The 27,448-nt window shown below is 38.9% G+C and overlaps 1 protein-coding gene and 1 long non-coding RNA gene across 13 annotated transcripts in view, besides 5 other annotated features; one reads left to right on the forward strand and one right to left on the reverse strand.

The window, feature by feature from the left end:
• SMC5-DT (SMC5 divergent transcript) overlaps window positions 1-11,122 on the reverse strand; it is a 42,816-nt gene extending 31,694 nt beyond the window's left edge. The window contains exons 1-2 of the long non-coding RNA NR_039990.1: window positions 10,644-11,122; window positions 10,163-10,183 (exon numbers count right to left, since the gene is read on the reverse strand). This is a non-coding gene — a long non-coding RNA (SMC5 divergent transcript). The remainder of the gene's footprint in view (window positions 1-10,162; window positions 10,184-10,643) is intronic.
• Window positions 10,793-10,982: an enhancer, noted in NCBI's record as "active region_28449". NCBI's record gives its function as "activates an Ori minimal core promoter by ATAC-STARR-seq in GM12878 lymphoblastoid cells {active_cell/tissue: GM12878}" and the evidence as "EXISTENCE:reporter gene assay evidence [ECO:0000049][PMID:35858748]".
• Window positions 11,053-11,272: a silencer, noted in NCBI's record as "silent region_19938". NCBI's record gives its function as "represses an Ori minimal core promoter by ATAC-STARR-seq in GM12878 lymphoblastoid cells {active_cell/tissue: GM12878}" and the evidence as "EXISTENCE:reporter gene assay evidence [ECO:0000049][PMID:35858748]".
• SMC5 (structural maintenance of chromosomes 5) overlaps window positions 11,226-27,448 on the forward strand; it is a 95,896-nt gene continuing 79,673 nt past the window's right edge. For 10 of the 12 annotated variants that reach the window (NM_015110.4, XM_005251837.3, XM_005251839.3 and 7 more), the window contains exons 1-3: window positions 11,226-11,511; window positions 16,552-16,693; window positions 20,171-20,223. In NM_015110.4, the coding sequence (NP_055925.2) occupies window positions 11,327-11,511; window positions 16,552-16,693; window positions 20,171-20,223 (380 nt within the window). In that variant the 5' untranslated portion in view covers window positions 11,226-11,326. Of the gene's footprint in view, window positions 11,512-16,551; window positions 16,694-20,170; window positions 20,224-20,866; window positions 26,653-27,448 lie in introns of those variants that run through there. The other 2 variants (XM_047423038.1, XM_047423039.1) reach the window with 1 other exon arrangement.
• Window positions 11,313-11,512: an enhancer, noted in NCBI's record as "active region_28450". NCBI's record gives its function as "activates an Ori minimal core promoter by ATAC-STARR-seq in GM12878 lymphoblastoid cells {active_cell/tissue: GM12878}" and the evidence as "EXISTENCE:reporter gene assay evidence [ECO:0000049][PMID:35858748]".
• Window positions 25,914-26,414: an enhancer, noted in NCBI's record as "H3K4me1 hESC enhancer chr9:72888582-72889082 (GRCh37/hg19 assembly coordinates)". NCBI's record gives its function as "activates a minimal SCP1, AML or CMV promoter by ChIP-STARR-seq in primed H9 embryonic stem cells {active_cell/tissue: H9 hESC(primed)}" and the evidence as "EXISTENCE:reporter gene assay evidence [ECO:0000049][PMID:30033119]".
• Window positions 26,415-26,915: an enhancer, noted in NCBI's record as "H3K4me1 hESC enhancer chr9:72889083-72889583 (GRCh37/hg19 assembly coordinates)". NCBI's record gives its function as "activates a minimal SCP1, AML or CMV promoter by ChIP-STARR-seq in primed H9 embryonic stem cells {active_cell/tissue: H9 hESC(primed)}" and the evidence as "EXISTENCE:reporter gene assay evidence [ECO:0000049][PMID:30033119]".

The raw sequence follows: 27,448 nt of genomic DNA on the forward strand, positions 1-27,448 counted from the left end.
ATATTCATCTATAACTCATCTTTTTTTGCTTAAGATTATATTTTTGAGATTCAGTTATGTTGAATTTCTAGCTGTAGTTAATTTTCACTATGATATGGCATTTCATCAAATGATTATACTGCAGTTTATGAATCCTTTCTACTATTGATAAATATTTGAGTTGTTTCTAGATTATTCCTACTGTGAATCATTGGGATAAAATACTCTTTTATAGGTACCCAGGTACCCATGTGAAAGAATTTCTTTAGGTTATGTATCTAGTATATACATTGCTGATTTGTAGGATATGTACACCTTACCAAATGATAAAAAACTGTTTCCCACTGGCTGTACTAATCCACGCTACCCTTACCAATATACTTAAGTGCCAAAACTTGCTAGTGTCCAACTTTTTAATTTTTGCCTATCTCTAATTGTGAAAATGTATTTCATGGAGGTTTTAATTTGCATTTATCTAAGTATTAATGAAATTGAGTATATTTCCATATATTCCATGACCATTCACATTTCACCTTGGGTAAAAATGCTTATTTTGTCTATTTGCCTACTGGGTTATTTGGGTTTTTTTGTTTTTTGGTTTTTTTTTTTTTACAGATCTATAGGAATTATCTAATATTCCATATACTATGCTTCTGTTTGTTTTAAATGATGCAGATCAATCTGAAAATTCATAAGTTTAGAGGATTAGGATGTGGACAACTTTGCGGGGAGCATTATTCTGCTTACAATTTTCTTTTGCTATTAGGTCAAACTTCTTAGCAAGACAAGTTTTGGGTTTTCCTTTTTTTTTTTTTTCTTTTTTTGAGACAGAGTCTCGCTTTGTCGTCCAGGCTGGAGTGCAGTGGCGAGATCTTGGCTTACTGCGACCTTCACCTCCTGGGTTCAAGCAGTTCTCCTGACTCAGCCTCCCAAGTAGCTGAGATTACAGGCGCATGTCACTGCGCCCGACTAATTAATGTATTTTTAGTAGAGACGGGGGTCTGCCATGTTGGCCAGGCTGGTCTCAAACTCCTGACCTCAGGTGATCTGCCCACCTTGGCCTCCCAAAGTGTAAGGTTACAGGTGTGAGCCACTGCGCCAGGCCTGGGTTTTCCTTTTCAACTCTTCTATCCTATGTTCTTCATTTATTTGGCAGGCTAAGATATTCAATGCAGTGCTCAACAGAAGTAGTGATAGTATCATCCTTAATGTTCTTAAACTAAAGAGAATATTTCTAAACAATTCATCACTGAATATGAATTTACTCAATGTTTTTGAAGTTGCCTTTTATTGGTTAAAGGAAGTTTTCTTCTATGCATAGTTTCCTAGAAATATTAACCATGAACGTGTGTTGAAAATGATTGAATGTTCACAATTGCAAAGATATGAAACCAACCTAAGCGTCCATCAATCAATGAGTGGAAAAATAAAATGTGGTATATATACACCATGGAATACTATTCAGCAAAAGAACAAAATAATGTCTTTTGCAGCAACTTGGATGAAGCTGGAGGCCATTATTCTAAGTGAAGTAACTCAGGAATGGAAAATCAAATACAGAGCGTTCTCACTTATAAGTGGGAGCTAAGCTATGGGTATGCAAAAACATGCAGAGTGGTAAAATGAACTTTGGAGACTCAGAAAGAGGAGAGTGGGAGAGGGGTGAGGGATAAAAAGCTGCATATAGGCTGGGCACAGTGGCTCATGCCTGTAATCCTAGCATTTTGGGAGGCTGAGGCAGGCAGATCGCTTGAACTTAGGAACTGGAGACCAGCCTGGGCAACATGGCAAAACCCCGTCTCTACAAAAAATACAAAAAAATTAGCCGAATATGGTGGCGCAAGCCTGTAGTCCCAGCTACTTGGGGGGCTGAGGTGGGAGGATTGCTTAAACCCAGGAGGTTGAGGCTACAGTGAGCTGAGATCTTGCCACTGCACTCCAGCCTGGTGACAAACTGCATATTGGATACAATGTACACTACTCAGGTGATGAGTGCACTAAAATCTCAGATGTCACCACTGTATAATACTTGCATGTAATAAAAAGCTACTTGTACCTCAAAGGCTATTGAAATAATATATATTTATAGTATGTATAAGTAATGCGTATTATATATTACATAATATACATAATATATATATTTTTGCCATGTTGCCCAGGCTGGACTCCAACTCCTTCTCCCATTCTGAATATACATATTATGTATATGATAGCCTTGCTTTAAAAAAAAGAAAATTATTGAATGCTTTTTCTTCTTTAATCTTTCTCCTTTAATATTTTCATATGAAGAATTACATTAATTGATTTGACTTACTTGTATTTAATCAACCTTGAATTCCTTCAGTGAACTCAAGTCATGTTATATTTACTTTTTTTGGACATTGCTGGATATTTTCACATATGTTCATAAAGTAAGATTAACAGAACATTTTCATTTATTTTAATTTCATTATCTGATTTTAGACAAAGTAAGACTCATAAGAGGAACTGGAGAGTGTTCTTTATCTATACGCCAAAAGAATGGATAGAATTAGAGCAATGGTTCTCAACTGAGGGCAATTTTGCCCCTTAAGGGACATTTGGAAATATCTGGGACATTTTGGGTTGTCAAAATAAGGGAGGTGCTACTGACATCTAGTGAGTAGAGGTCAGGGATGCTGTTGAACATCCTCCAATGCACAGGACAGTGCCTCACCTCCCCCAACAAAGAACTCTAGCTAACCCCAAATGTCAACAGTGCTGAGACTGTGAGCTTTTCTCCCATTCTGAATAATCAGAATTTGTACTTGTAATTTTGTATTTTTTCAGAGGATACTTCAAAAATTATATAAGCTTCAGTCCCCATAGAATGAAAATATGGTGGAGGAAAGAGAGGACACTGTGTGAAGGAGATATGTGTGTCTGTAGGTGTATGTGCAGGTGCATGGGAGGGAAAGAGAGACAGAGACACACACATAGACAGAGAGAGACCAACTAAATACAATGGTAGAGAGAGGAAGCGAGAGAGATGGGGAGAAAAAGAGAGAGAGAGATGAACTAAAGACAATGGTAGAGAGAGGAAATGAGAGAGATTTTGTTCTGATATAATTTTTTTTTTTTTGAAACCAGGTATTGCTGTGTCACCCAGGCTGGAGTGTAGTGGTGCCATCACGGCCCACTGCAGCCTCAACCTCCCCAGGCTCAGGTGATCCTCCCCCCTCAGTTTTTGTTTTTTTCCTTTTTGTGGAGAATGGGTCTTGCTGTATTGCCCAGGCAGGTCTCAAACTCCTGGGCTCAGGCTATCCTCCTGCCTCTGCCTCCCTAAGAGCTGGGATTACAGGTGTGAGACACCGTGCCCACCCACAGTTTTTACATTTTTAGTAGAGACGAGGTTTTGCCATGTTGCCCAGGCTGGACTCCAAATCCTGGGCTCAAGCGATTCACCCTCCTTGGCGTCCCAAAGTGCTAAGATTACAGGCATGGGCCACTGAGTCAAGCCTGTACTGATATAATTCTCAAATTATCAGTTACCAAGAAATTTGCCACAAGCAATAATATCCACAATACCAAGAAACTGAAGGAGAGTAATAAGTATGGCATACAGTCTAGCAATTCTAAACTTTGGTATCTATCCTAGAGAAATGCTTGCACATGTACATAAAGACATATCCCTGAAACACTGTAAAAATGAAAAACTGGAAGCAATCTATATGTCAAATTAGTAGAGTAATGGATAAAGTGTCATATACTCACATAAAAACTCTACAGCAATAAAAGGGAATTAGATTTATATGTATCAACATGGACACATTTCAAAATATATACTTTTTAATATAAAATCAAATTGTATAACTATTCTTAGTTTATTTTTATATTAATACATTTATGTATGTATTTAATATATTGTGTTTATGTAATACATTTGCACTCAAAATATTATTACATATTCTCTATAGAAAAAATGCATGTAAAATACAAAAATGGCTTGAAAGGACATTATACACTGCACAAGCGCATACGAGTAGTTAACTCTGGAGGATAAAGGATAAAGCAACAAGACTGAGAGAGATAAACGTCAAATGCACACTAATTTTATTTGTATTATTCTCACTTTTAAAAAGGGAATGTAATCATATGTTTCACATGTAATTTATTTTTTATTTTGAAGCAGAGTCTCACTCTGTTGCCCAGGCTGGAGTGCAGTGGCAGTCTCGGCTCACTGCAACCTCCACCTCCTGGGTACAAGCAATTCTCATGACTCAGCCTCCTGAGTAGCTGGGACCCCAGGCACACACCACCACGCCCAGCTAATCTTTTTGTAATTTTAGTAGAGACAGGGTTTCGCCATGTTGGCCAGGCTGGTCTTGAACTCCTGGCCTCAAGTGATCCGCCTGCCTCCCAAAGTGCTGGGATTACAGGCATGAGCCACTGTGCCCGGCCCCACGTGTAATTTTTTAAAAAGTAGATAATAGGAAAGAACAAAAACTAGAAGATATGTCAAATTGCCATGTGTTAATTTTTTTTGATTGTAGGAATGTGGATGAATGGTGACTGGTTTCTGCTCTGTGCTTTTTGGATATTCAAATTTCCTAAATAACAAAAATACAAAAATAATTTTAATTCTAAAAAAAAATTATATCTACTAATGAAAGCAGTGGAAATGAGAACTTAAAACCAGCCCGTTTCTGGGGGAGCTCGGCAGCATCCCAGCTTGTTAGAACAATGCTAGGATGAAAGTGCCACTCTAGGAGACTGATACCAAAAGACTCGTTTTATAATTTAGGTAGCTGGTTTCTGAAGTTTTACCACAGTTCTGACAACTACCAATTTTCTTTCCTTTGGGAAGTAACGGGGTAGGAGAAGAAACATTCGTCCACTCCCGAAGTCCTCCCAGAGCTCTGCTTATGTTCCTGGCCTTCCCTGGGCAAGAAGGACTGTGAGTTCAATAAGCACAGACTTCCAGCAAAGGAGATTACACAGTGCTTTAGCAACTCATTCATCTTTCTGAAACTGAAGGTCAGTTCTTCTGGAACAATTTAATACTGTTTTCTCATTTTACATCCTTGAAAGCGATGAAGGCCCATTCATCTTTAGGCTCTCTATTGTAACACATCACAAAGAACACTTGAAATGTTACATTAATTGTGATTATTTTTTTGAATCTTTCCGTCAGTTTTTGCACCCAATAAATAGAAATTTTAGAAAGAGGCCAGTCTGTTGAGACACTGATCCAGCATATAGAAATGAAATCAGTAAAGGTGCTTAGAACCATAGCTGGTGTGTGGTAAATGCTGTTGTATTAGCTATTACTACCAATTCTACAGCTACTACTATGCAGTTCCAATGTTAATACTACTACAGTAAGAAGCAGCAGACATTTTGATCATTTTAAACTTTTGTATGATGTTTGAAACAAATGTTTAAAAACGAAAAACATTTTTAAACATTCTCTCAAGAAGGTTTTCATATCTCCAGCAGAAGCCTGCTGTATGGGGTTTTAGTTCCTCCGTGGGAGGGGCACTGGTTTTCCTCAGATCCCTAATCCCTGCCTAGATCTGTTCCACCAATTCTTTAACAAGATTGATTAGAAAGTGTGTGGTTTTGCTCAGCGTTTGGGGGGATAGAATGGGACTTGGTCCTGGGTACCAAGGACTTGAGTTTTACCATCTGCCTTCTTCCCTCCCTTTCAGGCCATGAAGGTTCACTTATTTACTTTATGAATTTGCCAAAAGCAAAAGTAATATGCCCTCAGTTAGAGACGGTCTCACAGGGTTCTATTACCTGCACCTTGTTCCAATTTCTTGTGGCACCATTATCAAAAGCTTGGAGTAAAGCCAAAAAAGAGAACACAGAAGATAGTTGTTATGGTCTAAATGTTTGCATCCCTTCAAAATTTATATGTTGAAACTTAACCCCCATTATGATGGTATTAGGAGGTGGGGGCTTTGGGAAGTGATTAGGTCATGAGGGCAGAGCCCCCATAAATAGGATCAGTGCCCTTACAAGAGGCTACAGAGATGAGTTCTTCCTCTCCACCATGGGAGGACACAGTGAGAAGGCACTGTCTATGAGGATGTAAGCCCTCACCACACACCAAATCTGCTGGTTCCTTGATCTCCCACCTCTCAAGCTCTAGAACTGCTAGAAATAAATTTCTATTTTTATAAGCCACACAGTCTATGGTATTTTCTTAGAGCAGACCAACCCAAATTAAAACAGTGTATTGTGATAGTGAGGTGAAATACATGCATAATCCTTGACCCTGCCCATTTCTGTCAACTTTTTATTTGTCAGTTTTTAAAGTTCCTGCAGAATTGGAAGGCTGTCACTCAAAATGGCCCTGGTTACTTACTCCTTGGTCAGTAGAAAGTTAAATACAATTGCTTTGCCATGTCTATTAGCTGATGTCTGACTAAGCTGATAAGTAGCATCGGCTCTATTGTGGCTCACTCATTAATTAGCATCAAATTCAGGTTGATATTCTATTTCCAAAAATCTCCCTCTGCCTTTTTAAAATCACCTCTTTCAAGATGGTTTGCAAAAGTGGAATTAAATAATCGAGATGTGGCAAGATAATGTGTATACTCTGATAGGTGCATGAAATTTTCAAAGTGTTAAAAAGCACTGAGCTAGTATAGTTTGCCAGAGAATCTTTGGTTATGCTAACTTCCAGTTATACAGAATCCAACAAATGAGAACTATTTAAATCAAGAATGGTACATTTGTTTAATGGAATACTATGTGATTACTTAAAACTATATCACAGAAAAAAAAACTATATCACAAAAAAAATTATGGCATGGAAAGTTATTCATAATATATTAAGTGGGGGACAGGGGTAAATATGGTATCTATAGAACAATTTGTGCAGAATCATCCTTTTTTAAAACAAAAGGCACAGACCATATGTACAAGTATACAAGAAAAAAAGATGCCAAAACATACACCAAAATTTTAACAATTAGTCTGGGTAGAGGAATTATAAGTTTTTCCTTTGCATGTGTTTGTTTTTCTGTGTGTTTTCCCAAATTTTCTGCATTTAACATGTGTTGCTATGGTAATCACAGCTAAAACCAGTAACATTTCCTTTTTAAAAGGATGGTGTTACAGCATGACTGAGTAGCTGTTTAAAACTTGTAGAGTGTCTACATTTGTGAAGTCATCACAAGTTCAGGGACTCATTCTAAAATTTCAAGTTTAGAAACACAATTTGATTAGTTCACTAAAGACTAATCACATAGAAGGAATACATTCTAATGTTTGATAGCACAGTAGAGTGACTATAGTTAACAATTATCTATTGTATTTTTCAAAATAGCTGGAAGACTTGAAAGGGACCCATCACATAGACATTATAAATACCCTAACTTAATCATTACATATCATACGCATGTAACAAAATTGCACATGTACCCCATTAATATGTACAAATATATATATATTCAAAAAATAATTTTTAAAAAGCTGAGGAGGAAAGAACAAATTTTAAAAAGCTGGAGGGGAAAGAACAAATTAAACTTTAACAGAAAGTTAATTACGAAGATAAGTAGAAATTATGAAATCAAAAGTCAACAAAAGCAAAAATCAAGTTGTTCCTTTAAAAAGATTAATAAAACATACGTAACCTCTACTAGATTAATAAATGAGAGGAAGAAATGAACAATTTACCAGTATCAAGTGAGAAAGAGGAAGCATCACTATAGATGCTGCAAACGTTAATGGATATTAACACATAACTTCATGTAATAAGTTTGACAACTTAGATGAAAAGGACAAATTACTTGAAAAGCACAACCTATTAAAACTGACTCAAGAAGACACAGAAAATCTGAAATTATTTAATCATGCTATTCACACAGCTACTTCAGAGGCTCCAAGTCTTATAATGTGGGGTTTCTTGGCTCCTTACCCCTCTCCTGGGGGATCTAGGAAATAAATGTTGCTATTGATTGCCAAAAAAGGGAAGAAAAAAAAGGACTGATCATTGTACAAAAATGATGACTAGCTCCCTGCCCTCAGCTCCCATTACTAATGTCTATAATTCTTATTTGTTCATCAGGGTAGATTCCCCTAAATGTAGTAACTTCATCAAACAATCTGACTTTTCTACAGCTCTTGAAGCAGAGCCTTTACTTTTCAAAAAATTCATGCTAGCAACTCAGGGAAGGACAGTATTGTGCCCTCCTGAGCACTGAGTTTTTTCGTTACTCACCGCCATTTGAACAGTTTAAAAATTATTCTTTATTTTTGTTGCAGTCTCACCAACGCACCTTAACGTAGCAGTTTCTCATTGTCTGAACTAGTACCCTGGGTTCTTTGTCCTCACGTCCAAGAAAATTAAGGAACGTGGACACAAAGGTGGGGTTGGAGCAAAAGTTTAATAAGTGAAAGAAAGAAAAGAAGCTCTCTGCATTAGAGAGGGGAGTCTGACTGGACTGCCAAGTTGTAGTAAAAACGTCAGGGTTTTTATAAATGGACTAGTGAGGAGGGGTGTCTTATCTTCCCAGGGCCTGAAGATTTAGTTGGGACCAGGTGTGCTATCGGCATAGAGCAGAGTTCCTAACAGCCTTTACCCAATTCCTTGATCACATAAGCAGGCTTTTAGTTTATGCTGCTCTGTGCTGCTTTGTGTCGCTTAAGTTTCTGTGTCTGTTCCCAGACATTTTCTTGCAGCTGCAGGCATCCCCCAACCCTCCCTGTATAAGCTTCTCGCTTCCGTATCTTAGTGGGCCTAAACGGAAAGGAATGTACTTATTAAGTCTCACAGTTTTTACTGGGGCCCATTGTATGAGTATGAAGTCGAGACTCTCCCACTCCTGTGCTTGTTTATCTGTGCTTAAAGCTGTCTATCTGTCCAGGTGCAACCTGAGGTTTTCCCAAGGTTGTTTTATTTTTTGCCTGTTGCTGTGACTTTTCAGGTAGGCTGCTGCTGCAGTCTGAATTTTTTCAATGATTTTTCCTTCCCGTCTCTCTCATTTTCATTTGCATTTAAGAAAATTTCCAGTAACTACGACAAGTTCACATGCTTTTTACTTACTCTATTTTCTCTGGAGCGGAGTCCTTGTGTGAGAGGAAGCAGCAGAGACCTGGGAAAGGAGCTTTGGTCTAGGAGTCAGGAATCAGGGATCTACTGCAATAGCTTTCTAAGTGGCCTTCCACTTCCACACTTGGTGCCCTCTAATCCATTTTCCACACAGCAACCAGAATTATTATTTAAAAACTTTAAGGCCAGGCACAGTGGCTCATGCCTGTAGTGCCAGCACTTCGGGACACCGAGGTGGGCGGATCACTTGAGGTCAGGAGTTACAGACCAGCCTGGCCAAAATGGTGAAACCTCGTCTCTACTAAAAATACAAAAATTAGCCAGGTGTGGTGGCATGCACCTGTAATCCCAGCTACTCGGGAGGCTGAGGCAGAAGAACCGCTTGAACGAGGGAGGCAGAGTTTGCAGTGAACTGAGGTGGCACTACTGCACTCCAGCCTGGGCGACTGGGTGAGACTCTGTCTCAAAAAAATCAAATAAAAAAAATCAAATAAAAAAATTAAAAGCTTTAGTCAGAACATGGCCCTCTCCTGCTTAAAACTTTGCAATGGCTTCCCATTGCTTTAAAAATAAAATTCAGGCTTTTCCACGATGGACAAGGTTCTGCTCTGCAACCTTGTTCACTGCTCTGCAGCAACACTGGCCTTCCCACCTCAGAGCTTTTGTCCTTACTGGTATGTTCCAGCAAAATTCTTTTGCCTGGGGTGCTCTTTTCTCAGATCGTCACAGTTTCTTCTCGTCCTTCAGAGTTTATCTTAAACACCACCACCTCTCTAAGAGGCCTTCCGTACCTCCCACCCATCAGGTTCATTTTGTTTTCTTCCTAACACCTGTCACAGTCTGACATTATGCTAATCATTTGTTGTGTCAGCCTTAAGTAGTGAAATTCAGAAAATATCATTAAGTATAGAGTTTATTCTAACGCAAAGCTTGAGGACAGCCACCTGGAAACACCAACTCCAAACAAATAGGGTCAATGTTCCAAAGTGAAGTTAAGGTTTCATTTACACAGGCAGAAACAGAGAAGGTTCAGCAGGAGTACATTTTCAATACAAGAGCAGTGCATAAATTACAGCGATTAGATTAGTTATAGATAGCTACATTCCAAGGAAGATAACTATATTAATTTATGAAGGGGGTAGTGATCTGAGGGGGTCTTACCTCTGTCTCTGTTTGGTCTTCCTGATTATAGGAAAAAACAAGGCAGACATTGCAGCTGTATGCCATGGGACTCAGGCCCCATCGCCACATTCTTCGCAAGGCTCAGAATAATTTAAAGTTCCAACAGCTTTAAGTTTGAATTATTTAATTTCACAGTTGATTCACTTGTTCTTTTCCTGTCTCCCACAATAGAAAATAAGCTCCCAGGGATGCAACCTTGGCAGGCTCCTAAACTGCCACGGCTCCAGTTTCTTGTAGATTAGATATTCACTGTTGGTTAAATGAAAGAAGTTCTAGACAGGCCTCGGTGTGCTGCCTCCTCTTTAACGAGAGGGCTTACTAGATGAATGTGAGCAGACGGAAGCAGAACACCCTCTTAATGAAGGCAGCGCATTCCAGCTCAGGGATTTCTAGAAACCTCGGGGGCGGAAGTTTAACCAGAGAATTAGGAGGCAAGGGGAAGAGTAGCAATGAGGTTAACCTGTGCAGTGTAGTCATTTCACGAGTTTGAGAACGCCTAGCACGATGCCTTAACGGAGCGTCGGGCACAGAGTCATTTGGGAGGATTTCTTTTTCGGATTTTTGAGACAGGAACCTGATTTGAAGCAACAGGGAAGAACACCAAGAGGACGAAGAGCCAACGACGGGCGTGCCCGGGAGCTCTCACCTGGAAGGGGTGGGAGCAAGCAGGGCCTGACGTCCTCCCGCCTTGGCGGCCGTGGACGCCCCAGGTGCCACCCACAGCAGCCTCCCACCACACATGACTGAGGCTCGGGAAGCAATAAAGTGGCTTTCAAAATACTAAACGCAATTGAGATTTTTTCCTGAGTTAAAACAAAAAAAAAAAGGAACTGAATGCCGAAATATACGGAGAAGAAACTCCAGTTGCCACGTCCCCGAACGTCTCCACCCAGTCCTGCCTGCTGTTTCGCCCTCAGTCTGGGCCTCGCACAGCGCGGCGGAGCGCGGGAGGGGCGGGGCGGGCCTGCTGACGTCGCCGGACCTGAACTGCGCAGGCGCGGCGCGAGATCGCGGGAGCGAGCGCGCGGTAACAGTTCGCGGCAGTTCGCGCGGGAGCGGGGCGCCTGGGTGGATGGGCGCTTGGGCGCCTGGGCTGCCGGACGGTGGGAACGGAAGTCGCTGTGGGACGCTGAGGAAGCCAGGATGGCGACTCCGAGCAAGAAGACGTCAACTCCAAGCCCCCAGCCTTCCAAGAGAGCTCTCCCGAGAGACCCTTCGTCGGAGGTCCCGAGCAAGAGGAAGAATTCGGCCCCGCAGCTGCCGCTGTTGCAGTCGTCCGGGCCTTTCGTGGAAGGCTCTATCGTCCGCATCTCGATGGAGAACTTCCTGTAAGTTGCCCGGAGGCCGCGCCGCGGGTGTGGAGGTGTGCTGGCCAGCAGGCCCCGGGGCTCCGGCAGCGCGCGGGCGTGGGCGTGTGGGTGTGTACCTGGCTTGTGGGTCTGGCCTTGAATTCGTGCCGGGGTTCCCTTGAGGATTTTCCTACGTAGGCTGTGGAGATTGACGTGTATGATGTAGGAGATGTGTGCCTTGGGTGATGTGGTTTTTAAATTTAGTCAGCCAAGGTTTTCCAAAGGTGTCATGTAGCAGGTAGTGGTTGTAGGAGGGAGTAGGTCTCTGCCCGCTGGGAGTCGCGATCCATAGCGGCCCTGGTCTGGAATTCACAGAAGTATTGTCCCCGGGAACTTAAGAGGAGGCAACAGTTAATTCGGCGTGATAGTGATGCTGTGGCGGATTCTTAGGGTAGGCATTTGCCAGAGAGGAGTAGATAAGACGGTAAAGGTTGTTCGGGAATGGAGGTTACAGGTACAAAAAAATTAAACACTTACTGGCAATTGTTGGACCTCCCTACAAACCCTTGACCCCACTAAACCCAGTTTTCTTCCCTGGTTCCTCCCTCTCCCCTTCAGACAACTAGTTACCGCTTTAGAATTTAGTAAGTTTTAAATATATCATGTATTTGCCTAGCACCTTCCAGTTCATTTGTTCCAGGTCTTTTTTTTTTTTTTTTTCCTCTTTTTTTTTGAGACGGAGTTGCGCTCCTGTAGCCCACGCTGGATGGAGTGCTGTGCCGCGATCTCGGCCCACTGCAACTTCCGCCTCTCGGTTTCAAGCGATTCTTCTGGGTCAGCCTCCCGAGTAGCTGGGACTACAGGCGCGCGCCACCACGCCCGGCTAGTTTTTGTTTTTGAGACGGAGTGTCATACTGTCGTCCGGGCTGGAAGGTAGTGGCGCAATCTCGGCTCACTGCAACCTCCGCCTCCCAGTTTCAATCAATTCTCCTGCCTCAGCCTCCCGCGTAGCTGGGATTACAGCCAGCCGCCACCACGCCCAGCTATTTTTTTTTGTATTTTAGTAGACTCGCGGTTTCACCGTGTTGACCAGGCTGATCTGGAACTTTTGACCTCAGGTGATCTGCCCGCCTCGGCCTCCCGTAGTGCTGGGATTACAGGCGTGAGCCACCATGTCCGGCCGGAAGTCTTTTTAAAGCTTGCACATAGTGGCATAAGGATAACAGAATTGTAATAACAATACTACCTTTTTTTTTCAAGCACCTATTGTGTGCCAGGTACATAGTGCACTCATTCTTTCTTCATAACAACTCTATCTTGATAATTTCCATTGCTGAAAGAAGCTCAGTAGGTTATTTTGCCCAGTTTTACGCAGCTGTTACATAGTTGCATTGCTATTTGAATCCAGATCAGGAAAGATAAATGTAATCAAATGAGTTAGATACCATAACAACATATATCAGGATCCTTCACAAAGGATGAAGTGGTTAGTTTTGTCTACGAGTATGAGAAAGGGCTTTGTAAAGAAGATATGAAAGTCTTTGGTCTTGCTCTGTTGCCCACGCTGGAGCTCAGTGGCATGATCAGGGCTCCGTGAAGCCTGGACCTCCCCTTCTCAAGTGATCCTCCTACCTCAGCCTTTCAAGTAGCTCGGACTATAGGCGCGTACCATACCTGGCTAATGTTTTAAAATTTTTTTGTAGAGATGGGGTTTCACCATGTTGCCCAGGCTAGTTTCGAACTTCTGGGCTCAAGAAACTCACCTCGGCCTCCCAAAGTGCTGGGATTACAGACATGAGCCACTGCACCCGCCTAAGAAGATAGGAAAGTCTTGCAAGAAGTGAAGAGCATTGAAGACAGAAGGAACTGTCTGAAATAGTTTGGTATATTTAGAAAGCGTCAAGTATTTTAGTAAGGCAAGAATATAGGATGTGAATGAGTATTTGGACAAAGGGTAAGCAACCATTCAGGGGCCTGTATGTTTACTATGCTAAGAAGTTCCGACATCATCCTGTAGGCAGCCACGGTGTGTTTTCAACAGGGAATGACGTGTGTTCTGTGTTATTCTGGAAGCACTGTAGAGGATGATTTAGAAAGGGTGCAAGATTGGAAGCAAAAAGACAATACGAAGGCAAGAGATGATCAGAGTGTGAAGGAATGAGATTTGACAGGATCCAGCTACAGAATAGTTGTGAGGCATGGGGGAAAGGGAGGAATGCAGCATTTTTCCCAAGTGTAAGAGCCTTAGCTAATTGATCAGGTGCTATTCAGAAGAGGGAGCAGTTTGAGGAGAATAATAAATGCCTCTTAGATCCTGTGACTTAAAGTTTCCTTTGTGGCATCTAAGAGAGATGTTCTATAGGCAGAATGTAGGAGTCTGGAGCTTAGAGGAAAATATGAACAGATGAGAGTTTTGGGAGTCATGCATACAGGTGATTGATGAAGTTGCAGAACTGGTTATGATTGCCCAATAGGAATTATGAATTGAAGAACTAGAAGACCATGTACAGAGTCTTGGGAGAATGCCTACATTAAGGGTGAACTGAAGAAGGACTCAAAGTCAGAAGGAACTATTCAGGGAGGTAAGATGAAAACAGTGGGAGACAATTATCAAAGAAGCCAAGGAAAAAGAATGTTTCAAAAATATCACCTGCTACATTGAAGTCAGATAGCGGGACTGAAAAGAGCCCACTGCATTTAGCAATTGGGAAATCTTTGACCTTTTAATGAAGCAGTGGAAGCAGAAAACTTTGCAGGCCGGATGCAAAGAGAAGAAAGAGAAGGTAGCTGGAAGTGCAGAGGTTGGTGAGATGCTGTTTATTTTAATGAGGGGATTTTGAGTTTTAGGCATGAGGTAGAGAAAGATGCGCTTAGAGAATTAGCAAGGAAATAAGATGGGTAGTTAGAGAATGTAAATGGCCTGGAAGAGAGTAGTGAGTGAACCAAGTCAAATGGAGTTGGGAGTGGAGGAAGACACTTGGAGGCTGAAGGAATAACATGTGCAAATACTTCAGAGCAATAAGGAATTATAGTCACAAAACTGAAAGAAGTACATTATAGGTAGAATTTAGAGGTCTAAGGAGAGAATAGGGAAAGGAGATAAAAAGTAGAAAAAGATGAAACTCGGCTGTGATGGGTTTTTCCTTAATTTTTCTTTTTTAACAAGTGACATCAGATTTACAATTCTACCAGCATCACTTGGTGATTGATTGGATGATGGAGTGGTGGTTTGGGTGGAGTCAAAAGAGATGAAAGAACCAAAGAGGATGCAAAACTAATGCCTAGGTTTCTGATTTGGTCAATGGCATGAATGATAATACCATTCACTAAGAGACCACAAGAGTGGTTTTGGATGGGAAAGATGGTGGATTTCGTTTTAAATGTGTTAAGTTTAAGATGACTGTTATGGGACATTCAAATAGCGTTATTGAGGTGACCATTGCATATAGAGGTCATCTGGACTGCTTTCAGCATGTAGATAGTATGCAAAGACTTGGAGAAAAAAAGGAATCATTGAGGCCATAGAGAATACATGAGATACCTCGTGAAGTATATGGAATGATAAGAGGGTGGGTCTTTACCAATAGCTCTTTCAGAGGGAGCTCAGAGGAAAGGAAACTCATGATAAGGGAATTCCCAATAAATACATCGTAGAATCAGAAGATTGATTTTAAACAGTGCAGACACTTGATCTGGGTAGCTAAAGGCAAGAAAAATCCCCCGCCTACCCCCGCCAAAAAAAAAAAAATTGCAGAGGCTTTGTTTTTGGCAACTGTCCCTATTTGTAATATCGATGCGTATTTTATAGGCCAGAAATTCTCATGCTTTTCCCTGTTCTGTTTTCTTAAATACCAGTTTCATCGTTTTAGTATAACATTTACACAGAGATTTCACAACAGGAAATCCAAGTGGGGCTTCATGTGTTGAGCGTAAGAAGTTCCATGTCAGGTAATTTCCTACATGTCTGAAGTTCCCAAACTAGTTTTATTGTAACCATAATAAAGGGCTCTTTTGAAACCCAGCTGCTAGCAGAACAAAACAGCTAAAAAGATAAAGTAGTAGATGCTGTGTAGAGGTGTGGGATTAGCAAACCTGCCAGAAAATACGTCTTTGCCACCTGTATTTTTATTACCACCCGACATTTCAAAATCATTAATTTCTTAAAATATTAATGTGTGTGCTTGGTTATTTATATACTTAGCAGATGAATAGCAGGCTAAGCATTTATTCATGAGGAATTAGTTGGCAGCTACCTGAGAGCTAACTGAAATGCTGTGGACAAAGGACACTTTATGGGTTCAAATTCAGAGTATTCAAAGGCGAGTTAAAAGAATGTCTGAGTCAGAGTTTGCTTCACATTTTGTCATAACTGTCCCTAGCAACTAATAAAGATTAGATGCTAACTATAATTAGAGTGCTAGTCAGCTTTCAACTTTTGTTTTGTAGGGCAGTGTCTCTCTATGATGCCTAGGCTGGCTTTGACCTCCTAGGCTCAAGTAGTACCCTGGCCTCAGGCTCCCTGGTAGCTGGGACTATAGGCACATACCATGGTGCCTGGCTTGGAAAATAATTTTTAAAAGTTAATAAAATGAAACCTTTGGGTTGAGATATATCTTCAGTTTTGTAATTAAAAATCTGCTTAGATTGTTTGAAATATTAAAATATGAATAACCATTAAGCATTATAATTTAAAAGAAATATGAATGTAAAATTCACAGATTCAAGGTAAGCCGTGGCGTCTCCTATAAAATTTGTTTTAAAGTTATTTTGTGTAGTATCTTTGATATAGTGTCCAGTGTTTTGTAATTATTAAAAAAGAACAAGGTATCAAACTTCACTTTCTTCAGCAGACTTTTGAAAAAAGTATATGAAATTATATTCTTTAGTTATGCATTACTGCCTTTTCATTTCTTCTATTGGTATTCTTTCTAAAGTTGTTTATTAAAAACCTATAAAAAAACATTAAATTTGTAAGGTTAGCTAGTTTTTAAAGGAATTTGAGGAAGCTCATAGATAATGTAAAGCAAGGAAAAGTGGTTTTGTATCTCTCCTTAATAATTTCATCTCTTTATAATTCAGAACATATGATATTTGTGAAGTATCTCCTGGACCCCACTTGAATATGATCGTTGGAGCCAATGGAACAGGGAAGTCGAGCATTGTGTGTGCCATTTGCCTTGGTTTAGCTGGAAAACCTGCTTTCATGGGACGAGCAGATAAGGTGAGTTAATATAATTACTTTTTAAGAAATTTCAAACCTATTAATTGCTTTTAGTAACATCAATTTCTACACCTCAGTTCCTTGGGTATAGCAAACTTAATAGTGCATGAATACAAGGAATAAATTTGGCAGGTAGAGAAGCTAGAAGGAGATTTTCATTTCTAGAAGTATTTTGGATCATAATACTAGAGGATTCTTCAAGTCTCTTACACCTAAAATGCTAGAAATAATGTAATATGTCTTTTTTTTTAAATGCATCACTTGGCTTGTGGAACAGTGAAGTAAACTTACAAAGGGCAGAAACAAAATCCAGTCATATGTTGCTTAATGATGGGAATATATTCTGAGAAAATGCATCATTAGACAATTTTGTCATTGTGTGAACATAATAGAGAATATTTACACCTAGATGGGTTAGCCTACTATCCACTTAGGCTATATGGTGTAGCCTATTGCTCCTAGACTACACTCCTGTAGAGCATGTTACTGTACTGAATACTGTGGACAATTGTAACACAATGGCCTACACTGTACTTATGTAAACATCTCTAAATATAGAAAAGGTACAGTAAAAATACAGTGTAAAAGATAAAAATGGTACACCTGCGTAGGGCACTTAACCATATTCATGAGAGTGGGGGGCGGAAAAATACTGCCCGAACAATCCAGAGGGAGTCTTGAGAAAGGAGGAGGAGGAGGAGATAAGAAACAGATACAAAAAATGAGATCATTAAAAATGACAAAATATTGGCTGGGTGCGGTAGCTCATGCCTGTAATCCCAGCACTTTGGGAGGCCATGATCAGGAGTTCCAGACCAGCCTGGTCAACATGGTGAAACCCCGTCTCTACTAAAACTGCAAAAATTAGCCAGGCATGGTGGCGGGTGCCTGTAATCCCAGCTACTAGGGAGGCTGAAGCAGGAGAATTGCTTGAATCCAGGAGGCGGAGGTTATAGTGAGCCAAGATCGCACCATTGCACTCCAGCCTGGGCAACAAGAGTGAGACTCTGTCTCAAGAAAAATAAATAAAATAAAAATCACAAAATAAGATGGTAGAAATATGTGCAGATATAATCACAATGATTATAAATGATCTAAACTCTAAACTCTCATTAAATTATAAAGTCTGTTAGAATGGAGAAATGAAACAATGTTTAGTTCTCTTTTGTTTTTAATAAGCATATCTAAAATAAAGTGCTACAGAAAAGTTGAGAGTGAAAGGATGAAAAAAAATACATGCCAGGCAAATATGCAAAAGAAAGTAGATGTAGCTGCATTAATACTAGGAAAAACAGACTTTAGAGCAAAAAGTATTTTATAGATAATAGTGGTCATTAAACACTGACGAAAGTTTTAATTCACTGGAAGATAATTCGATTCCCAACTCAAATTCACATTATAATCTAGCTCCAAAATATATAGGCAAAATCTGCAGAATGCTAACAAGCAGTTAACATATCCATAATCATACTGGGAGAGCTATCAATAATAGTAGACCAGTCAGATAAAAAAATTAGACTACAAAAGATTTGAACAATGAAGTTAAGCTTGAACTAATGGACATATTATAAAAAGTGCACTCAACAACTGGAGAGTATGCATTCTTTTCAAGCACAAGTTAACATTTCTAAAAGTTAATTGTATACTGAGTCATAAAGCAAGTATCAAAAAATTTCAAAAAATGGACACCACGTAGACCATATCCTATTTCTATTAAGATAGAAATAATAAAAAAAAAATTAAAAGTTAATGGATGGTTACAAAATGGAAGCAAATTCCCCTTAAGATTATAAATTATTTAAAATGTGTGTGTGTGTGTTTAGTGCTATATGGAAGACATTTATCAGGTAGAAGATACTTTTCTCTGTTAATAACTAGCCTTGTGACCTTGAGCAATTATCTGGACTTCAGTTTTTCTTCATTTCAAAGATGAGAGAGTTGGAACAGATAGCATCCAAGGACCAACTCAGATTTTTATGAATATTGATATATAGTTTTTTAATTGTCAGATCATTTAATCCCTATCTCTTTGTAATCGTCTGTTGGATTGTACTCCAGGGGCTGTACAGTAGGACTGAATTGGCTATAACAATTTTTACTAACTTTCTCATGTTGATTTTTGTCATGAAAACACATCTCATCCTTGAGTGATAGGATTTTTAAGGGAGGCTGTGGAGTGCAGTGTTTCCTAGATGACAGATTGCAGCCCTTTGGGTACACAGATGTATTTATGGGATGCCCAAGTTCTCAGCAAGAATATTTAATGTATTTTTGTTTAAATGCTAATATAAAAATTTAACAAAAACATACTCTACACCATCTGTATGGATACTTTATAATAAGAACTGCCTCCTGATTTTTGTTTCCTCCTCATTGGTACCAAGTCTTTTAATTCTTGCAAGCTAATGAGCAGATGTCATTCCTACATGGATGTCCTTGGTTTTCCTGTGAGGAAACAGAGAGGTTAAGTAACTGTCCAATGTTTAACAACTTGTATGTGGTGGAGTTGAGATTTGAACCTAGATAGTAGATGTTAAAACCTGTACTTTTAAGCATTAGGCTGTACTTGGTGGTTACAAGATAAGGCTTTTTTTTTTTTTTTTCTCCCATCTTTCTGGGACTCAGCTTTATTGTCTATAAAATGAATGTATACTTCAAGGTTGCTTATGAGTATTAAATGAGAAAAATACATGTTTAGTGCTTAGCACAACAGTATATAGTAAATGCTTGATAAATGTTAGCTGTTGTCATCACTGTCATTATCACTATTAAAAAGATTACTATTTGTGAGGTATATTTTCTACCTTTTTTAATATTTATCACTTATTTATAGCCTGATTTAAGATCCAGTCTGATTTTTTTAGGCTCAGACTTTGTTTTCGGACTTAGACTCATAAGCATATAGAAACTAGCACAGATATGTCTGCTTTATCATGTAAATTTCAATTATATTGCTCCTTTTAGAACGATGCTTGGTGGCAATTATATCATTAACAGGATAGGTAATATTAGCGTGGTTGTTAATATTTAACCTGCGCGACTGTAGGAAGTCTTCAATGGTAATAAGAAGCTTTGAGTGCTTAGTGGTTATACTATAGGACCTGTTTTCCCACAGGCATTTTCTCTTCTGTCTGGGTGTTTAATATAGTGGACAAGTACACAGGCTCTGGAGCCAAGATTTCCTGGGTTCAGATCGTTTTTCTGGCACTTACTGGCTTTGTCACGAGGTTGGTAAGAGGCTATGGAGTGCATAGGAGTTCGATAAATCTTACCTAATATTATTATTGTTGTTATTTGTGGGAGGGAACAATGGAGGAACCCAGATCTGGGAGAGATACCTTAGAAAGTGACAGGAGCGAACATACAAGTGGTACCTGAAAAAAATCTTGATTTGACAAATAATAATGACTGCTAAATCTCTGATTGTTAACCTGGGAATGTCACTACACAGCTCACTTTTTCTTTTTTATGTCTTAGGTTGGGTTTTTTGTGAAGAGAGGATGTTCTAGAGGCATGGTTGAAATTGAATTGTAAGTGTTAAAAGTGCTAAAACTCCTTTTTCCTATAAAATTCTTAGTTTATATTCATGTTTTCCTGATGATTAGAAAAGAGTATTAATATAGTATTATGGCATAAATATTGGAAATAATATTTAAAGAATACTTAATCCAGATAAGTAAGGGGTTTAAAAAATATATTTTAAAAACTTAAATTGTAGGCTAGCCATGGTGGCTCATGCCTGTAATCTGAGCACTTTGGGGAGGCCGAGGTGGGCAGATCACCTGAGATCAGGAGTTGGAGACCAGCCTGACCAACATGAGGAAGCCCCGTCTCTACTAAAAATAGAAAAATTATCCAGGCATGGTGGCACATGCCTGTAATCCCAGCTACTGGGGAGTCTGAGGCAGGAGAATTGCTGGAACCTGGGAGGCAAAGGTTGCAGTGAGCCGAGATGGCGCCACTGCACTCCAGCCTGGGAGACAGAGCTAGACTCTGCCCATGCCCCCTGCCCCCCCCAAAAAAAAAACTTGTGAGAATTTTATTTTAAAAAATTATCAAGGAAATGATAAGTTTATAGCAGGTAATGAAATAGAACTATACTACTATTAAGTAGTCATGATGAAGTTGCAATATTTTTCACAAATTTAAAGTATCTGGGTTTTTTTTTTTTTGCTGATCTTGAAAGTAATACTTGCTTGTCTTTAAAAAACGCAAACAATGTAGAAGTGTATAATGTTGAAAATAAAAGCCTTCTTGCCATCATTCCTAATTCTATAAATAACTACTGCTAATAGTTTGATGAATCTCATGTATGACAAGGACTTGGTACTTCTGTCACCATTTTTTATTTTCTCCCTTATGACACCAATAATTCATCATAGTATTCTTTTCCCTTGAGCTTGGATATTCTCAATTGGCCATTCTTGGCAGCTATTTTTGATAGACTAGAGTTGATGTTTATGATGAAACCAGTTGACCATCCTTGGTATATATAATTTTAATCCTTTACACATAAATATGCACATTATTTAGGTGATTTTTAGAGACTGTTGCTGTTGGAATATTAGTGGAAAGTTGTGGCATTTTTGAGCTGAAAAGCCTTTAAAGATTATCTGATAGCCCTACTATTTGATATGAGATGAGGAAACGTTCTTTTATAAAAAATTACTCAGTTTTTATTTATATAGAGATGAGAAAGATAAACATGGAAGTAAAAAGAAAATAAATTTTGAAATACCCAACTTATTAAAATATGATAGAATTTTGTTGAAGAATATAAAATCAAGACCTGAAGAAATGGAGGTGCGTGATACGTTCCTAGAAACATAAAGTTAATGTCATTATTAACATGTCAGACCAGGTGCAGTGGCTCATGTGCGTAATCCCAGCACTATGGGAGGCCAAGGCAAGTGATTGCTTGAGTCCAGCAGTTGGAGACCAGCCTGAGCAACATGGCAAAACCCCATCTCTACAAAAAATACAAAAATTAGCCAGGCCTGGCTGCGCACCTGTAGTCCTAGCTACTTAGGAAACTGAGATGAGAGGATCACCTGAGCCTGGGGAGGTAGAGGATGTAGTGAGCCATGATTGTGCCACCGCACTCCAGCCTGGGTGACAGAGTGAGACTCTGTCTGCAAAAAAAACAAAAACAAAAAAAGTCAATCCTTTGTAAATTAATACATACATTTGATACAATTACAATGAGAGTCTCAACAGGTAAGTTTACAAGTTGATTCTAAACTTCATCTTGAAGAATAAATGTGCCAGAAAACCCAAGGAGATTTTGAAAAAGCAAAGTTGTAAATAAGATTTTTGTCTACCACATGTTGAAGTATACTGTAAAGTTGTTGATTTAAAAATAAGCGTGATACTGGTATAGAAGATGAGAGGAGCAGAATGTAGAAACCAGGAACAGATCGAAATGTACATGAGAACTTATTATAAAAGTGGCAGTTTAATTAAGTGTGGGATATTTTAAGAGATAGGAAAAACCAAAGTTGTTTTTGCTATTCTCAAACTCAACACAGCACAGAACACTTCTACACCAGATGTGTGGGGTTTTTTCCCCACACCCTGCAATTCAGTTCAATTCTGACACTAACCAAAAATTAGTGCAGGACCCATAGTTTAGGGGCTCAGTCACACAGGACTGCCCTCCACTTTATATGCCATTTGTAAGTCTTAGGTTGTGCCCTGTACTTCTGACCAACCAGCTGTAAATTGAGGTTCTCAGGACCCCTTTCTTGGTCCAGTTATTTGCTAGGATGGGAAACACTTAGGTTTACCCATGTATTATAAAGGATACTACAGAAGATGCAGATGATTAGCAAAATACAGGGCGAGGTCTGGAAGGGTCCGGAGTGCAGGAGCTTCTTTCCCCACTTTCCCAGCATATGGATGTGTTTCGTAATCTGGGAACTCTCTGAAACCCATGGTTCAGGGAATTTTATGGAGGCTTCATCACATGGGTATAAGAAACTCAATCTCTAGCCCTGCTTCCCTTCCCAGAGGATGGGGAGTAGGTTGGTGGGGCTGAAGGTTCTAAGTTTCTGTTCATGGCTTTATCTTTCTGGTGACCAGCCCACATCCAGGAGCCCAACAAGAGTTGCCTCATTAGAAAAAGACACACTTGTCACCTAGGAAATTCCAAGGGATTAGGAGTTCTGTGTCAGGAATTGAGGACAGAGACTAAATAATTTTTTTTTTTTTTTTTTTTTTTTGGGACGGAGTGTCACTGTCGCCCAGGCTGGGGTGCAGTGGTGCAATCTCGGCTCACTGCAACCTCTGTCTCCCGAGCTCAAGTGATTCTTCCACCTCAGCCTTCCAAGTAGCTGGTATTACAAGCACCCACCACCACACCTGGCTAATTTTTGTATTTTTAGTAGAGACAGGGTTTCGCCATGTTGGCCAGGCTGGTCTTGAACTCCTGACCTCAAGTGATCCGCCCGCCTTGGCCTCCCACAGTGCTGGGATTACAGGTGTGAGCCACCATACCCGGCCTACATATTTCTTAATACAGGCTGAGTATCCCTTATCTGCAACACTTGGGACCAGAAGTGTTTTGGATTTTGGATTTGTTTTGAGTTTAGAATATTTGCATTATACTTATCGGTTCAACATCCCCAATCTGAAAATCTGAAATATGAAACACCCCAATGACCATTACCATTGAATGTCATGTTGGCACACAAGAAGTTTTGGATTTTGGAGCATTTTGGATTTTGGAGTATACAGGGATACTCAACCTGTATATCACAGTATCATAATGTAAATTATTCAAATTGAGCTGTGATAATTATCTTATTATATAACTTTAAAAAAGTTAATTTTTTAAAGATAAATTTAGAGCTTTACCTAACACCCTACACATAAATAAAATTTAAGTATATAAACGTCAAGCACTTTTTCCACGAAGGTTCACATGGCCTTGAGAGTACCAAATGTAAAACAGCTCATCATTAGTTGTTGAAATTATTGCCATTAAACAAGTATACTAACTGGCCATGTATTCCTTGAGTAGAATGGTGGGTAGAATAATCTCTGGCATGTATTTATGTAGTCATTTTCCAAATATTTATTGAGTACCTATACATTGGGGATACTCTTCCCTCATGGAATTTATAGTTAGGGGCATAAGGAGGGACAGTTAGATAAGTAAAATGTATATATGTTAGGTGGTGATAAGTGCTACATAGAAAAATAAAGCAGAAAAGGAGGATAGGAGTGACAGAGTGGAGTTTTACAGTTTTAAATAACCTGATCAGGAAAGATCTCACTGAGAAGATAGGATTTAAGCAAAGACCTGAAGGAGGAAAGGTAATGAGCATGGAGATAATTGGGGAAATAATATTTCAGGTATAGAGATTTGCAAATGCTAAGGCTCTAAAGTGGTACCCACAGTGACTGGATCACTTTGAAGGAGGAGAATAGTAAAAGATAAGCTGCGAAAATATCAGGAAGTCAAGCCTGTATTCATTGTAAGGAGTTGGCATTTATTCTGCATAAGCTGTGAAGCTGCCTGGTTTTTAGCAGAGGAATGATGTGATGTAACTTAAAAAGTTTAACCAGATTGGGTTGCTGTATGGAAAGTAAACTTTAAGAGAGCAAAGGCAAAAGCAAGAATATCAGTTAAGTGACTAATAGAACAACGCTATGAGAGATGATAGCTTATGATTTGCTTATGAATTATATACAGAGTATGGGAGAAGGAGCAAGATATCAGGGAGGACTCCAAGATGTCTGGCATGATTAAGGGTAGAGTTTCCATTAACTGAGGTAGACAGACCTACTGCAGAAGGTTTTGGGAGCAGATCATACATCATTGAACTAAGATGCCACCACTTGTAGCTTCCAATTAAAATTAAACTAGCACAGATAGTTTGAAATGTGCATCCCAGTTTCAGAGATGTTAAAATGTTTTTTTAAAAAAGGAACTTTTCGGAATCAAACATGGTAAAGTTTGAGATGCCTAGTAGATACTCAGGCAGAGCTGGGCACGGTGGCTCATACCTGTAATCCCAGCACTTAGGGAGGCAGAGGCGGGAGGATTGCTTGAACTCAGGAATTCACCAACCTGGGCAACATAGCGAGACTCCATCTCCACACACACACAAAAAGGTCTGAGATTCAGGTAGAAATGTTTTTAGTGGGCAGTTAGATATATAAACCTGTCATTCTTGGAGAAGTCTGAGCTGAAGATAAACACATTTGGGAAATCATTAGTATTATGATGGATTAAATCACCAATGAAGCAGGGATAGATAAAGAAGAGTTCTAAGAACGTATCTGCTACAGTGCACCGTTTAGAGATTGAACATAGGGAAAACTAGGAAAGGAAACTGAGAGTTGGCTAGTGAGTCAGAAGAATACAGTACTTGGAAACCAGCACTTGGAACAACTTCAGGAGGAGTCAGTTGTCTATCACCTGTGTCTGATACTGCTGATAGGTCAAGTAAATTGAGAACAGAGTTTATTATCCGCATTTATTGAGTTGGTCATATCATTTAAGTTGAAGAATTAATTAATTCCCTGATGTTTGCTCAATTTTGCATTCTTAGAATAACCCAGTTTGGTCATAGTATTTTTGATGTGTTGCTAGATGGGTTTTCTAGTATTTTATTTAGAATTTTTACATCCGTATTTTGTTTGTGAAAGATATTTGTAGTTTGAATGTTTGGTTAAGCTTACTGTTTAAAAAAATCTGATGTGTGTTATAGGGTGTCTTGCAAAAAAAATCATCTGGCTTTTTTTTTTTCTAACTATACTGATTTAATTTTTTTCTAACTACTGATTTCATTTATTTATAGTAATCGGTTGCTTAGATTTTTCTGTTTATTCTTGGATTACTGTGGTTATTTATACTTCGTAAAGGATTTTCCCATTTTTCTTAGTTTTAAATTTTATTGACATGAATACCATCCTCTTATTTGAGTTTACTATATATATTATTTTATACAAAACAGTATGTCTTCTAAAGATTGACTTGTCAATTTTAGTAGTTTTTTTCAATGAACTAACTTTTGCATTTGTCGTATATCATGGTTTTCTATTTCATTAATTTCTATTCTTACCTTTACTGATTCTCATTTTTTGAAATGGATATTTATTGCACTAATTTTTAGTCTTGTTTACCCTAATATGAACAGTTAACGTTAAAAATGTCCCACTTACTACTTTAGCTCCATCTCTCAAATTTTAGTATATAGTATTTACTGTTTTTCAGTTCTGAATATTTTCTTTATGAGTTCATAATTAGAAGTTGTTTCTAATGTAGTGATTTTCTTATTTTTTAGTATTGGTTTCTACTTTGATTGTAGTGCAGTTAAATATATAGAGATACTGGTTTTATGTTACTCATCCTTTGAAATGTCTTTCTTTTTGTAGTGAACTTTAGTAATTGTTCTTTGGCTAAAAGAATAAGTTTTCTTTTGTAGATACCTGCAGTGTTCTGTATTTGTGCATTAGTGCAAGTTTATTAGTTATATTGTCAAATCTTCTATATTTTTGCTGATTTCAGTTGTCAGATTGATACCTTAATTACTGACAAAGGTGTATTACACTATTCCTCTATGCAGATTTGTGAATTTTCCTTGTCCTGTCAATTTTCGCCTTATGTATTTCTAGGACATTATTAGTTGCATCTAAGATTAAAATTGTTTATCTTCTCGCTTAGTCGCCCAGGCTGGAGTGCAGTGGCGTGATCTCGGCTCACTGCAGGCTCCGCCTCCCGGGTTCACGCCATTTTCCTGCCTCAGCCTCCCGAGTAGCTGGGATTACAGGCGCCCGACACTACGCCCAGCTAATTTTTTGTGTTTTTAGTAGAGATGGGGTTTCACCGTGTTAGCCAGGACGGTCTCGATCTCCTGACCTCGTGATCCACCCACCTCGGCCTCCCAAAGTGCTGGGATTACAGGCGTGAGCCACTGCGCCCGGCCGTGAATTCAACTTTCTGTTGTTAGGTACTGACCTCTATCTTTCTTTTGCCTTAAAGTCCGTTTAGTTTGCCATTAATGTAGTTAGCAGCTTTTTTTTTTTTCCCAGTATTTTTCTAGTTGTCTTTTTTCATTCATTTCATGTTTTTAATATCTTTTGTTATCTCATTTAAACTAGTATAGCTGTATTATTTTTTCTGGAGTCTTTTAAGTAAAGCATATAATCAATTTACAAATATATGTTTGAACTTATTTTTCCTGTCTTATTCTCTGCTTTTTATTTTTCACAGTCTTCAGCATTTCTTTTCTTTCTTGCTTTTGTTGGATATTTGTTTCATTTTTCCTTCTCTTTTGTCTTGGAAATTAGGCATTCTTTTAGTGGTTACTGGAATTTTAGCAGGTATACTTGCTGGAGTCCAGACTTAATATCTGTCTTCCTGCTAAACAAAGATTTTACAGTACTTTGTTCTTAATAACTTCTCTGAACTTACATGCTTTTAAAGTTCTATCTTTTTAAAACTCCTCAAAACATTATTATTAATATAATATAGTTATATTAATTATGCTGTCAGTGTTTGTTTAGAATTACCTCAGATATTTCTGTTTTGCTTTTCATTCCTTCTTCTATTTCTGATTTTCTCTCTGGGATCACTTTCTGCCAAAAGGATATTTGAAGTTTTCTTTTATGAGAGTTTTCTGTTGGAACACTCAGTTTTTAATCTGAAAACGATATTATTTAGCTCTAAATCTTGAAAGATGTGTTTCATGGATATAACATTCTATATTGACAGGTCTCTTTTCTCATATTCAGAGTATAGTATAA

The sequence above is a fragment of the Homo sapiens genome, chromosome 9 (assembly GCF_000001405.40).
Source record: "Homo sapiens chromosome 9, GRCh38.p14 Primary Assembly".
NCBI lineage: Eukaryota > Metazoa > Chordata > Mammalia > Primates > Hominidae > Homo > Homo sapiens.